The following is a 15026-nucleotide window of genomic DNA, read 5'->3' as shown; positions in this document are numbered from 1 at the left end:
ACTGTCAAAGGTCTAATGTATAGTAATTCATGTTGTACTCTTTCTTCAATTTTAAAGACTACAAACAAAGTCATTGTTACAATAGCTGACAGTTTTTGAGTTAAGAAAATGTAATTCCAATAGTAAAATGAAAAAGGCATTCATACTAACCAAAGTACTCATGAGAGCAACTGCAGAATTTGGTTAAATTCTGAATGAAGTTTGAGTCTACTTAATCATATTGTACTTAATCATAACATAGTAATCATGAGCAATTAGCACTTTACTCACAGACTTTGACCAACTCAGATGGGATCCCCTAGTTTCCAACACAGTTGCCATCTACAATTGTTAGCATGCCATCAGAAGATTCTGAAGAGAGACTAAAACATGGTCATAGCACAGCTCTGAATATTACAAATAAAAACCAAAGTGAGTTGCTTTCCTATCAATGTTCGAAAGTAAATTATTCTTTGAAGGATTAAAAGAAAAGCCAAAAAACTTGTAACAGAGATTGCTTCACAGAAGAGTATAACTGAATCTTTTTAAACTATGCGCATATATAGCACATTGAAAGCCAGTATGCTGTAATTGATTTCTGGATCCAAAGTGCCTCAGTTCAAATCCCAACTCAGCCACTTTCTAGCTATGTGACCAATTCACAGCCATGTGACACTGGACATGCTTCTTACCTCTCTGTATCTAGGTCTCCTCATATGTCAAATAGTGATAATAGCAGTTCCCCTCACAGGGTTGTTGAAAAGAGCCAGAGTTAATAGATGCAGAGTACATGTGGCAAATAGGAAGCACTATATAAGTGTTAGATAGCATTATTTTTTAACTTTTTATTTTGAGTTAATATTAGATTTACAGAAGATAGTACAGAGAGTACCTTTATTTCCTTCACTCCTCTTCCCCTAATATTAACATCTTTTATGACCATAGTACAATTATCTAGAACAGGAAATGAGCGTTGGTACTTGGAACCAATTGGAACATTGGAATATTGTTAACTAAACTTCACACCTTCTTTTAATTTCACCAATTTTGCCACTAATATCCTTTTCCTAGGTTCCTGTCAGAACCCACATTGCATTTAGTTATTTCTCTTAAGTCTCCTCCAACCTGTAAGGTATTTCCTAGTAGATCGCAAATATAATAAAATAATCAAGGTAAACATCACTAATAATAACACATATCAATATTATGAACCCTGATACAACATACTGAAAAGAAAACATAATTTTGTAGTTTTCATGCCAAAAATACAAAACCTCATTCCAATTATGAGAAAATATCAGATAAGACAAACTGAGGGATATTTGATAAAATAACTAATCAATACTCTTCAAAAGTGTCACTATTATTTTTTAAATTTTTAAAGAATTAATAGTAAATAATCTTAATGAATATGTGTAAGCCATGATAAACTACTAAAGTATGGCTAACTCTTCTTTAATTCTAATTTACAGGTGATTCCCCTCTTATTAGTGGAACCTAATTCAAAAGTTCATTTGATAACCCACTGTTTTCTACCAAGATTTTTCTCATGATACTTAGAATCTGTATTTCAAGTTCATTATGAGGAAACTATTTTAGCAGGCTAGCCTAGAAATCTAATCTAGTACGTATTTTTTTTCCTAGGGAGAAAGGTATTCTAAATCTCAACGTGAGATGTCAGGAATACATTTCTTTCTCCTCCTCAGCCTGATGGGCAACAGGAACTTTGCACCTTTCCTGGTCTCTTCACACACACTGTCCACCCCCAACCCATCCTCCCATTACTCTGGTGCTATTAAACTATAATGCTGGTTCTTGGCAATTTCCAGGCCCGCTGCCCCCTTACTCTAAACCTGCAACTCTTTTTCTCTTCCCCTAACCCTTGATTCCTGGCTTTTAAGACCTATTTTTAGAGTCCTTAGTTTTAGAATATGTTCAAAGTCCTCTCTGGCTTTCCAGACTCAGTTTCGGGCTCTGCATATTCATCAGATTTTGGGAAGACCCCACAGGTAGAGGTAAAAAGTCTCCCTCCACTAGTTTAACCCTTAGAAGCTTGATCTACTAACTGGGCTAATCCCTGGCATCCTTCCAAAAATGTAAACTCAAACTTCAAGGGTTCTGGAAGGAAAGGGACCTAGAATGAGCAGAGAGATAACACCTAGGGTTACTGGGACTCTGAGAAATAATTTAGAACAAAAGCTAAAGAAGGAGAAAGGTAGTGGGGTAGAGGGATGGCACTGAGGGAGCAGCACTGTCACCGAAGTCTTAAAGTAGTTTCGTTGCCTCCTTCTCTGTCCTTTCTGTTTCCTCTGGAAGGTCACAAGACCTTCATCTGGTATAAATCCTTAGGGACAGGAGTTGACCTGCTGGCTACCTATTGCACTGACATCAGTTACTGCCTCAGATCAGAGATTCTGTTCATCACAGCTAAATGCAGAAAATAACACAGGCTTCTCTCTTTTTACCCAGTCCCTGGAATAAACATTGGCTGGTCTGAAATTTTCTAAGGGTTACTGCTACAAATCACAATGGGGAAGTAGAGGATAAACTTTACCAACAAAATGCAAGTTTTAACAAGTCTCACATAATCATTCTCCTGTTATTCAATGAAATGTAAATTAAATGGGGCTCTAGACACCTTCTCTAGCTTTCTTAATTGCTTTCTCACCAGGACCCTCAGATTTTATTTATCCCAAATTGTTCCACATTTAGTCTTCTGCTCTAATCTTCTTTTGCATTTTCTATTTTCCAGGGAGGCTTGGGTCTGGGAATTACATTGTCAGACCTTTGAGATGCCTTTCACTCCCGTTTCATCTCAGAAAGGAATTCTTGTGTTTTTCATTGCTGCTGTCCTCTGACCCCGCTTCTTAACTAAATGTGTTAAGTGATTTGGGGGAGTTATATAAACTCTTAAAGGCCCACTTTCTTCTTCTCTAAATTGCCACTAATGTCCTTTTTACAGTGCCCCTTCTTACAGAATTATTGTGAGGACTAGTGAGACACTATGTACATTACGTGCCACATGGGAGACATTAAACAAATGATGGCAATTATTCTGGACTCCATCACTCATCCAGTTACCACCACATACCCAGCCACCAACTGCACAAATACAAGGTGAGAGGTAGACACTCAGAGCTGAAGAGTGAGCCACATTTCTCTGACTACACCTTTTACTGCTCATACTGAAAGTAAGAACAGGGAAGTAAGAAACACAGAAAGTAAGCTAGGTTGTAGATTCAAAGGTGAAACCAGGATGTTAGGAAAGCCTTAGAAAAATGACAAGAGGCCAGGCATTGTGGCTCACGCCTGTAATCTCAGCATTTTGGGAGGCCAAAGCAGGAGACTTGCCTGAGGCCAGGAGTTTGAGTCCAGCCTGAGCAACATAACAAGACTGTCTCTAAAAAAAGAAAGAAAACAAGAAAATTGACAGAAATGTTTTATTGGCTTTTCATTACAAGGAAAATAGCATTCAGCACAATGTATAAAATTTTAGAAAACATAGCCTAAATATTTATTTATTTATTTTGAGACAGGGTTTCACTCTGTAGCCTAGCCTGGAGTGCAGTGGATGATCATAGCTCATTGCAACCTTGATCTCCTGGGCTCAAGTGATCCTCCAGCCTCAGCCTCCCAAATAGGTGGGATTACAGGTGCACACCAGCACAACCAGCTAATTTTTCAAATTTTTAGTAGAGATGGGGGTCTCACTATGTTGCTTAGGCTGGTCTCAAACTTCCAAGCTCAAGTGATCCTCCTGTTTCAGCTTCCCAAAGTGTTGGGATTGCAGGCATGAGCAACTAAGCCCAGCCTAAATATTTTAAAAGTATTATTTTTGTTTTGAATCCAAAAGAAAGTAATTTAAGTATCAAGATTATATAAGAAATAAAATAGCTAGAACAAAAAACATCTTTCCTGTCCTATTTTTTTTATATTCGCACTCTCAACTATATCTATTTAAAACATTAAGTTTAATAACACTTAGTTCAAACTGGCAAATGATGTGTCCTGAAATACTCCTTATAAATGGTCATTTTACTATATTCTATTTTTTAAAAATACAAATAAATCCAATGAAGCTTCATACCTTGCAGACATAGCTCTTCTAACATTCACATGCAGGGGTCATCTCTCCAAGCAAGCTCCTTTGTGCATTTATTCTCTTTCCAACTAGCCCTGAAATAATATCGACCAGATCTATTTTCTCCTCTCCTCCAGCTTCTCTGAGTAGCAGAAGCAATAAACTAATAATGGTAAGTGAAGCTACTATTTCTCCCTTCTTACTGAATCAAGCTTCCTTCAGTTAGTCGCTTGTAAAGTTGCTCATTGCTTAATCTCTCACGTTTCTATCCCCTAACAATAGGCATGTTGTTTCCCAACTTGAAAAATTAACATGAACGTCTACATTGACCTGGCAGTTGTCGAGTGCAGTCATTTTCCAGGCAGCCAACTAAAGGCCATGCACAGAGCTGCTTTGTTGTGAGAAACATGATTTCTCTGAAGTTTATGGTGATGCTGAAGTTGTTTTGTACAACCCACTGTTCCTGGCTCACATACATACAAATGACAGCAAACATTCTGACAGAGGTACAGAGGACATGGAAAAGAGGGTTAGTCTATTCAATGAGCTGGCAGAACTTGATCATTTCTACTTCTGTGTTCTAAATTTTAACATATGCGACTTTGAATTTTACCTACAATTTTAAAGGAAAGTAATTGGTTTTAAACCCATATTCTTTTTTTCTTCTGAATTCCTGTGGAAATAAATTAAGTAGCTTTTCTTTGACGACTGTTAATTATACCCTAATAAAATTAACTTGGCAGTAGACTTGGCAAAAAGTAATATTCCAAGGCAATTAAATTTGGTTATAGATAAAACAAACAATATTTATATACTGTGCTTTGCCAGGTTGAAAAAAGAGACAAATAATAGCTAGTTTTTTTTTAGTAACTCTTCTACCAAAAAGGTAGAGAAACACTGTTTTCTTTTCAGAAGAGGAATGGTAGATCAAACTCTTAATTAATTTATAAGAAAATGAGAGAGCTGTAGTTAATAAATCAGGTATAGCTTAAATGTTCCAGGAAGACTCTTCCTGTGCAATAAATTTAATTAAGCCAATGAGAAACAATCCAATTCCAGTGACAAGATAGAGATAACCTGTACGTGATCAGCATGAACAGGCATAGTTAAAAAACAAAGTAAATTGAACTACCAGTAACTATTTTTCAAATCCTTAATCACTGGAAACTAAAGCTTATTTCTTCTTTTTGTGCTCAACTTTCAGGGAACAAATAACTGCCCTTCCTTTAAAGTCAGAAATTTGGTACACACCAGCTGGGTGCAGGGGCTCATGCTTATAATCCCAGCATTTTGGGAGGCTGAGGCAGGTGGATGGCTTAAGACCAGGAGTTTGAGACCAGCCTTGCCAACATGGTGAAACCCCGTCTCTACTAAAAATACAAAAATTAGCCTGGTGCGGTGGCACAGGCCTGTAATCCTAGCAACTTGGGAGGCTGAGGCACGAGAATTGCTTGAATCTGTTTGCTTGAATCTGGGAGGCAGGGGTTGCAGCAAGCCGAGATCGTGCCCGTGCACTCCAGCCTGGATGACAGAGCAAGACTCTGTCTTAAAAAAAAAAAAAAGAAGGAAAAAAGAAATTGGGTACACGCATGTTCTCACTTACAAGTGGGAGCTAAATAATGTGTACACATAGACATAGAGTATGGAATGATAGACAGTGGAGACTTGGAAGGGTTGGGGGCGGTGGATGATGAGAAACTACTTAATGGGTACCATGTACATTATTCTGGTGATGGATACACTAAAAGCCCTAATTTCACCACTATGCAATATATCCATGTAACAAAATTATATTTGTATCCCCCAAATTTATACTGACAAGGAAAGGAAAGGTAGATGGCTACCAGTGGCTCTCTCAAGCATGAGAAGTTCCGTATGGTGATACGGTAGTCACTGAAAACTGGCCCTTATTCTGTGCATGCACTTGCGACTGCAATGTTTGGGGTAGCACATATCAAGGATGAAGTCATCCTTATAAAATGTGAGCATTGATATATCTCATTCTCAAATACCAGACTACATTAGCAGAATACAACCTTTGGAAATCTCTTCTTATGTCAAAGTCCCAGAAAGAGATAAAGCATATTGACCAGGCAGGTCTCAAAATCCTGACTTCAGGTGATCTGCCCACCTCAGCCTCCCAAAGTGCTGGGATTACAGGCGTGAGCATGGCGAAACCCCGTCTCTAATAAAAATACAAAAAAAATTAGCTGGGCATGGTGGCAGGCGACCGTAATCCAGGCTACTCGGCAGGCTGAGGCTGGAGAAAGGCTTGAACTCAGGGGCGGAGGTTGCAGTGAGCTGAGATTGCGCCATTGCACTCCACTCCAGCCTGGGCAGCAAGAGCGAAACTCTGTCTCAAAAAAAAAAAAAAAAAAAAAAGAGAGAGAGAGAGATACAACATAAACTCAGAAACATCCTTATTTAAAATTCATTGTCAGCCAGGTACAGTGGCTTATGCCAGTAATCCCAGCACTTTGGGAGGTTGAGGTGGGAAGACCACTTGGGCACAGGAATTCGAGACCAGCCTGGGCAACATGGCGAAACCCCAACTCTACCAAAAATACAAAAACATTAGCTGGCTGTGGACGTGTGTGCCCATAGTCCCAGCTACTCAGGAGGCTGAGGTGGGAAGATGGTTTGTGCCCGGGAGGCAGATACTGCGGTCAGCCGAGATCACGCCATTGCACTCCAGCCTGGGCGATAGAGCAGGTCTAAAACAAACAAACAAAAAATTCATCATCACTTTGGAACTCTTTTCAATGGCATTAAAACATGCATTATTCCTCAACGTCTTAATGATTTTAATGTTATTTATACAATTTACTCCAAGTTTTGATGAAAAAAATAGAGCCTTACCCAGTGCCTAATGGCTACCTTGAATATAGCCTGCAGAATCTGTCTCATTTCTGGGACGGGTATTTTAATAATATTATAAGAAACTCACAGTAGTATTCTACTAAGAACTCTTAAAAAAAAATCCACCGGCAGCTCCCTAAAGTCATTGGCATGCCTAAATCCCTCTAAAAAACAGCATCAGGTACTATACTACTGTACTTTTGAGAGGTGACAGTGTGCTGGCAGTCCTCACAGCCCTCGCTTGCTCTCGGCACCTCCTCTGCCTGGGCTCCCACTTTGGCGGCACTTGAGGAGCCCTTCAGCCCACTGCTGCACTGTGGGAGCCCCTTTCTGGGCTGGCCAAGGCCGGAGCCGGCTCCCTCAGCTTGCAGGGAGGTGTGGAGGGACAGGCGCCAGCGGGAACCAGGGCTGCGCGTGGGCTTGCAGGCCAGCTGGAGTTCCGGGTAGGCGTGGGCTTGGCGGGCCCCGCACTCGGAGCAGCCCGCCGGCCCTGCCGGCCCCAGGCAATGAGGGGCTTAGCACCCGGGCTAGCAGCTGCGGAGGGTGTACTGGGTCCCCCAGCAGTGCCAGCCCACTGGCACTGCGCTCCATTTCTCATCGGGCCTTAGCTGCCTTCCTGCGGGGCAGGGCTCAGGACCTGCAGCCCGCCATGCCTGAGCCTCCCACCCCCTCCATGGGCTCCTGTGTGGCCCGAGCCTCCGCGACAAGTGCCACCCCCTGCTCCACGGTGCCCAGTCCCATCGACCACCCAAGGGCTGAGGAGTGCGGGCACACAGCACCGGGACTGGCAGGCAGCTCCACCTGCAGCCCTGGTGCGGGATCCACTGCGTGAAGCCAGCTGGGCTCCTGAGTCTGGTGGGAACATGGAGAACTTTTATGTCTAGCTCAGGGATTGCAAATACACCAATCGGCCCTCTGTATCTAGCTCAAGGTTTGTAAATACACCAATCAGCACCCTGTGTCTAGCTCAGGGTTTGTGAATGCACCAATTGACACTCCGTATCTAGCTATTCTGGTGGGGCCCTGGAGAACCTTTGTGTCGACACTCTGTATCTAGCTAATCTGGTGGGGATGTGGAGAACCTTTGTGTCTAGCTCAGGGATTGTAAACCCACCTATCAGCGCCCTGTCAAAACAGACCACTCAGCTCTACCAATTAGCAGGACGTGGGTGGGGCCAGATAAGAGAATAAAAGCAGGCTGCCCGAGCCAGCAGTGGCAACCCGCTCAGGTCCCCTTCCACACTGTGGAAGCTTTGTTCTTTCACTCTTTGCAATAAATCTTGCTGCTGCTCACTCTTTGGGTCCACACTGCTTTTATGAGCTGTAACACTCACCGCGAAAGTCTGCAGCTTCACTCCTGAGCCAGTGAGACCATAAGCCCACCGGGAGGAACGAACAACTCCAGACGCGCCGCCTTAAGAGCTGTAACACTCACCGCTAAGGTCTGCAGCTTCACTCCTGAGCCAGTGAGACCACGAACCCACCAGAAGGAACAAACTCCGAACACATCCAAACATCAGAAGGAACAAACTCCAGACGCGCCACCTTAAGAGCTGTAACACTCACCGTGAGGGTCCGCGGCTTCATTCTTGAAGTCAGCGAGACCAAGAACCCACCAATTCCGGACACATCTTGGCAACCACGAAGGGACTTTCGCCTATCGCCGAGCGGTAAGACCATCGCCTATCGCCGAGCGGTGAGACAATCGCCTATCGCCAAGCAGTGAGTACCATCAGACCCCTTTCGCTTGCTATTCTGTCCTATTTTTCCTTAAAATTTCGGGGGCTAAATACCGGGCACCTGTCGGCCAGTTAAAAGAGACTAGTGAGGCTGCCGGACTAAAGACATGGGTGTCAGGCTGTCTGGGAAAGGGCTCTCTAACAACCCCTGACTCTTTGGAGTTGGGACCGTTGGTTTGCCTAGAACCAGCTTCCGCTTTTCCTGTACTTCTGGGCTGAGCCGAGGGTCGACAGAGAGGAAAGCCATGCAGCTCCAAGGTCCCGACAACATGTTGGCTGACCCTGCGGCCATGAGCGGCACTCTCAAAAGCATGTCGCCCAAGAAAGACTCACCCATCTATCCTATCTATCCTGACCCTTGCCGCCTGGGTCCTAATGCCTGCCAGACAAACTTCCTCTCGCCTGTCTTCTCTGAGGTTAGACCCACTTCTAAAAATTGCTACCTGTCCCTGGTGCTTTTCTAGTTTCTCCTATAAGAATGATTTATAGTATAAACTCCAGGACTCTGTTACCTTCTTTAGGCACCCAGGCTCACCAATCAGAAAGACATGATTTTTGCCCAAAGCCCCGTCATAGTGGGGACTACCTGGAATTTTAGGATCCCTCCTGAGACTAACAGGCCTAACAAAAGCTATTCCTGAAGCTAGGATATGGGGAGCCTCAGAAATTGTATCCTTCCTATTCATATAAGTGAGGAAAAAGGTGTCACTCTTCCAACCCTGAAGATCCCTTCCCTCCCTCAGGGTATGGCCCTCCACTTCATTTTTGGGGCATAAGATCTTTATAGGACAGGGGTAAAGTCCCAATACTAACAGGAGAATGCTTAGGACTCTAACAGGTTTTTGAGAATGCATCATAAGGGCCACTAAATCCGATTTTTTGTGGTCGGTCCTCCTTGTGGTCTAGGAAGACAGGCAAGGGTGCAGGTTTTCGAGAATGCATTGGTAAGGACCACTAAATCCGACCTTCCTCAGTCCTCCATGTGGTCTGGGAGGAAAACTAGTGTTTCCGCTGCTGCGTCAGTGAGCACAACTATTCTGATCAGCAGGGTCCAGAGACTGTTGCGGGTTCTTGGGCAGGGGTTGTTTCTGCTGCTGCATCGGTGAGCGCAACTATTCCAATCAGCAGGGTCCAGGGACCGTTGTGGGTTCTTGGGCAGGGGGAGAAACAAAATAAACCAAAACCACGGGTGGTTTTGCCTTTCAGATGGGAAACACTCATGCATCAACAGGCTCACCCTTGAAATGCATCCTAAGCCATTGGGACCAATTTGACCCACTAACCCTGAAAAAGAGATGGCTCATTTTTTTCTACACTATGGCTTGGCCCCAATATTCTCTCTCTGATGGGGAAAAATGGCCACCTGAGGGAAGTACAAATTATAATACTATCCTGCAGCTTGATCTTTTCTGTAAGAAGGAAGGGAAATGGAGTGAAATACCTTATGTCCAAGCTTTCTTTTCATTGAGGGAGAATACACAACTATGCAAAGCTTACAATTTACATCCTACAGGAGGACCTCTCAGCTTATCCCCATATCCTAGCCTCCCTATAGCTCCCCTTCCTATTAGTGATAATCCTCCTCTAATCTCCCCTGCCCAGAAGGAAATAAGCAAAGAAATCTCCAAACGACCATAAAAACCCCTGGGCTATAGGTTATGTCCCCTTCAAGCTGTAGGGGGAGGGGAATTTGGCCCAACCCGGGTACCTGTCCCCTTCTCCCTCTCTGATTTAAAACAGATCAAGGCAGACCTGGGGAAGTTTTCAGATGATCCTGAGAGGTACACAGATGTACCTACATAGATGTCCTACAGGGTCTAGGGCAAACCTTTGACCTCGCTTGGAGAGATGTCATGCCACTGTTAGATCAAACCCTGGCCTTTAATGAAAAGAATGTGGCTTTAGCTGCAGCCCGAGAGTTTGGAGATACCCGGTATCTTAGTCAAGTAAATGATGGAATGACAGCTGAAGAAAGGGACAAATTCCCTACCAGTCAGCAAGCCATCCCCAGTATGGATCCCCACTGGGACCTTGACTCAGATCATGGGGACTGGAGTCGTAAACATCTGTTGACCTGTGTTCTAGAAGGACTAAGGAGAATTAGAAAAAAGCCCATGAATTATTCAATGATATCCGCCATAACTCAGGGAAAGGAAGAAAATCCTTCTGCCTTCCCCGAGCGGCTATGAGAGGCCTTAAGAAAATATACTCCCCTGTCACCTGAATCACTCGGGGGTAAGTTTATTACCCAATCAGCCGCAGATATCAGGAGAAAGCTCCAAAAGCAAGCCCTGGGCCCTGAACAAAATCAAGAGGCATTATTAAACCTGGCAACCTCGGTGTCCTATAATAGGGACCAAGAGGAACAGGCCCAAAAGGAAAAGCAAGATCAGAGAAAGGCCACAGCCTTAGTCATGGCCCTCAGACAAACAAGCCTTGGTGGTTCAGAGAGGACAGAAAATGGAGCAGGCCAATCACCTGGTAGGGCTTGTTATCAGTGTGGTTTACTAGGACACTTTAAAAAAGATTGTCCAATGAGAAACAAGCTGCCCCCTCGTCCATGTCCACTATGCTGAGGCAATCACTGGAAGGTGCACTGCCCCAGAGGATGAAGGTTCCCTGGGTCAGAAGCCCCCAACCAGATGATGCGACAACAGGACTGAGGGTGCCCGGGGCAAGTGCCAGCTCATGTCATCACCCTCACTGAGCCCCGGGTATGTTTAACTATTGAGGGCCAGGAAATTGCCTTCCTCCTGGACACTGGCGCGGCCTTCTCAGGGTTAATCTCCTGTCCTGGATGACTGTCCTCAAGGTCCGTTACCACCCGAGGAATCCTGGGACAGCCTGTAACCAGGTATTTCTCCCACATCCTCAGTTGTAATTGAGAGACTTTGCTCTTTTCACATGCCTTTTTTGTTATTCCTGAAAGTCCCACACCCTTATTAAGGAGGGATATATTAGCCAAGGCTGGAGCTATTATCTACATGAATATGGGGAAAAAGTTACCCATTTGCTGTCCCCTACTTGAGGAGGGAATCAACCCTGAAGTCTGGGCATTGGAAGGACAATTTGGAAGGGCAAAAAATGCCTGCCCAGTCCAAATCAGGTTAAAAGATCCCACCACTTTTCCGTATCAAAGGCAATATCCCTTAAGGCCTGAAGCTCATAAAGGATTATAGAATATTGTTAAACATTTAAAAGCTCAAGGCTTAGTGAGGAAATGCAGCAGTCCCTGCAACACCCCAGTTCTAGGAGTACAAAAACCGAACAGTCAGTGGAGACTAGTGCAAGATCTTAGACTCATTAATGAGGCAGTAATTCCTCTATATCCAGTTGTACCCAACCCCTATACCCTGCTCTCTCAAATACCAGGGGAAGCAGAATGGTTCACGGTTCTGGACCTCAAGGATGCCTTCTTCTTTATTCCCCTGCACTCTGACTCCCAGTTTCTCTTTGCTTTTGAGGATCCCACAGACCACACGTCCCAACTTACACAGATGGTCTTGCCCCAAGGGTTTAGGGATAGCCCTCATCTGTTTGGTCAGGCACTGGCCCAGGATCTAGGCCACTTCTCAAGTCCAGGCACTCTGGTCCTTCAATATGTGGATGATTTACTTTTGGCTACCAGTTTGGAAGCCTCGTGCCAGCAGGCTACTCTGGATCTCTTGAACTTTCTGGCTAATCAAGGGTACAAGGTGTCTAGGTCGAAGGCCCAGCTTTGCCTACAGCAGGTTAAATATCTAAGCCTAATCTTAGCCAAAGGGACCAGGGCCCTCAGCAAGGAATGAATACAGCCTATACTGGCTTATCCTCACCCTAAGACATTAAAACAGTTGCGGGGATTCCTTGGAATTACTGGCTTTTGCTGACTATGGATCTCCAGATACAGCAAGATAGCCAGGCCCCTCTATACTCTAATCAAGGAAACCCAGAGGGCAAATACTCATCTAGTTGAAAGGGAACCAGAGGCAGAAACAGCCTTCAAAAGCTTAAAGCAGGCTCTAGTACAAGCTCCAGCTTTAAGCCTTCCCACAGGACAGAACTTCTCTTTATACATCACAGAGAGAGCCAAGATAGCTCTTGGAGTCCTTAGACTCGTGGGACAACCCCACAACCAGTGGCATACCTAAGTAAGGAAATTGATGTAGTAGCCAAAGGCTGGCCTCACTGTTTAAGGGTAGTTGCAGCAGCGGCTGTCTTAGCGTCAGAGGCTATCAAAATAATACAAGGAAAGGATCTCACTGTCTGGACTACTCATGATGTAAATGGCATACTAGGTGCCAAAGGAAGTTTATGGCTATCAGACAACCGCCTCTTAGATGCCAGGCACTACTCCTTGAGGGACTGGTGCTTAAAATATGCACGTGCGTGGCCCTCAACCCTGCCACTTTTCTCCCAGAGGATGGGGAACCAATTGAGCATGACTGCCAACAAATTATAGTCCAGACTTATGCCGCCCGAGATGATCTCTTAGAAGTCCCCTTAACTAATCCTGACCTTAACCTATATACCGATGGAAGTTCATTTGTGAAGAATGGGATACGAAGGGCAGGTTACGCCATAGTGATGTAACCACACTTGAAAGCAAGCCTCTTCCCCCAGGGACCAGTGCCCAGTTAGCAGAACTAGTGGCACTTACCCGAGCCTTAGAACTGGGAAAGGGAAAAAGAATAAATGTGTATACAGATAACAAGTATGCTTATCTAATCCTACATGCCCATGCTGCAATATGGAAAGAATGGGAGTTCCTAACCTCTGGGAACCCCCGCTGGATGCCACAGGGAAGTTATGGAGTTATTGCACATGGTGCAGGAACCCAAAGAGGTGGGAGTCTTACACTACCAAGGCCATCAAAATGGGAAGGAGAGGGGAGAACAGCAGCATAAGCGGCTGGCAGAGGTAGGGAAAGACCAGCAAGAAGGAAAGAGAGAAAGAGAAAGTCAGAGAAAGAGACAGGGAGAGGAAGAGACAGAGAGACAGAACGTTAAAGAGGGTGTCAGAAACAGAGACAAAGAAAAGGAGTCAGAAAGAGGGACAGACACAGAAAGTCAAAGAGAGAGTTAAAAAGAGAGGAAGAGACAAAGAAGTTGAAGAGAGAAAGAAAGAGATGGAAGTAGTAAAGAAAAAACAGTGTACCCTTTTCCTTTAAAAGCCAGGGTAAATTTCTGTCTTCCTAGCCAAGGCATATTCTACTTATGTGGATCTTCAACCCATATCTGCCTCTCAGACAGTTTGCAAGAAATAACGAAATCTATTCTTACTTTACAATCCCAAATAGACTCTTTGGCAGCAGTGACTCTCCAAAAACGCCAAGGCCTAGACCTCCTCACTGCTGAGAAAGGAGGACTCTGCACCTTCTTAGGGGAAGAATGTGGTTTTCACACTAACCAGTCGGGGATAGTATGAGATGCCGCCCGGCGTTTACAGGAAAAGGCTTCTGAAATCAGACAACGCCTTTCAAATTCTTATACCAATCTCTGGAGTTGGGCAACATGGCTTCTCCCCTTTCTAGGTCCCATGGCAGCCATCTTGCTGTTACTCGCTTTTGGGCCCTGTATTTTTAACCTTCCTGTCAAATTTGTTTCCTCTAGAATCGAGGCCATCAAGCTACAGATGGTCTTACAAATGGAACCCCAAATGAGTTCAACTAACAACTTCTACCAAGGACCCCTGGACCAACCCGCTGGCACTTCCCCTGGCCTAGAGAGTTCCCCTCTGAAGGACACTACAACTGCAGGGCCCCTTCTTCACCCCTATCCAGCAGGAAGTAGCTAGAGTGGTCATCGGCCAAATTCCCAACAGCAGTTGGGGTGTCCTGTTTAGAGGTGGGATTGAGAGGTGACAGTGTGCTGGCAGTCCTCACAGCCCTCGCTTGCTCTTGGTACCTCCTCTGCCTGGGCTTCCACTTTGGCGGCACTTGAGGAGCCCTTCAGCCCACTGCTGCACTGTGGGAGCCCCTTTCTGGGCTGGCCAAGGCCGGAGCTGGCTCGCTCAGCTTGCAGGGAGGTGTGGAGGGACAGGCGCCAGTGGGAACCAGGGCTGCGCACAGCGCTTGTGGGCCAGCTGGAGTTCTGGGTGGGCGTGGGCTTGGTGGGCCCCGCACTCGGAACAGCTGGCCAGCCCTGCCGGCCCCGGGCAATGAGGGGCTTAGCACCCAGGCCAGCAGCTGCGGAGGGTGTACTGGGTCCCCCAGTGGGCTGGCACTGCACTCGATTTCTCATCGGGCCTTAGCTGCCTTCCTACAGGGCAGGGCTCGGGACCTGCAGCCCGCCATGCCTGAGCCTCCCACCCCCTCCATGGGCTCCTGTGTGGCCCGAGCCTCCCTGACGAGTGCCACCCCCTGCTCCACGGTGCCCAGTCCCATTGAC

The 15026-nt window shown here is 45.2% G+C and overlaps 1 protein-coding gene across 22 annotated transcripts in view; it reads right to left on the bottom strand.

Annotated features, from left to right (window-relative positions):
- ART3 (ADP-ribosyltransferase 3 (inactive)) overlaps nt 1–15026 on the bottom strand; it is a 101597-nt gene that overhangs the window by 54446 nt on the left and 32125 nt on the right. For 3 of the 22 annotated variants that reach the window (XM_047415695.1, XM_047415696.1, XM_047415699.1), the window contains exons 2-3: nt 4067–4155; nt 271–351 (exon numbers count right to left, since the gene is read on the bottom strand). The exons of 8 other annotated variants lie outside the window; for them this stretch is intronic. The gene's annotated coding sequence lies outside the window, so the exon portion shown is untranslated. Of the gene's footprint in view, nt 1–270; nt 363–3330; nt 3380–4066; nt 4226–15026 lie in introns of those variants that run through there. 11 more of the 22 variants (NM_001437641.1, NM_001437648.1, NM_001437639.1 and 8 more) reach the window with 7 other exon arrangements.

This window comes from Homo sapiens, chromosome 4, assembly GCF_000001405.40.
Source record: "Homo sapiens chromosome 4, GRCh38.p14 Primary Assembly".
NCBI classification, from domain to species: domain Eukaryota; kingdom Metazoa; phylum Chordata; class Mammalia; order Primates; family Hominidae; genus Homo; species Homo sapiens.
Note: the sequence above shows the minus strand (reverse complement) of the source record. Positions and strands in the feature narration are given on the sequence as shown.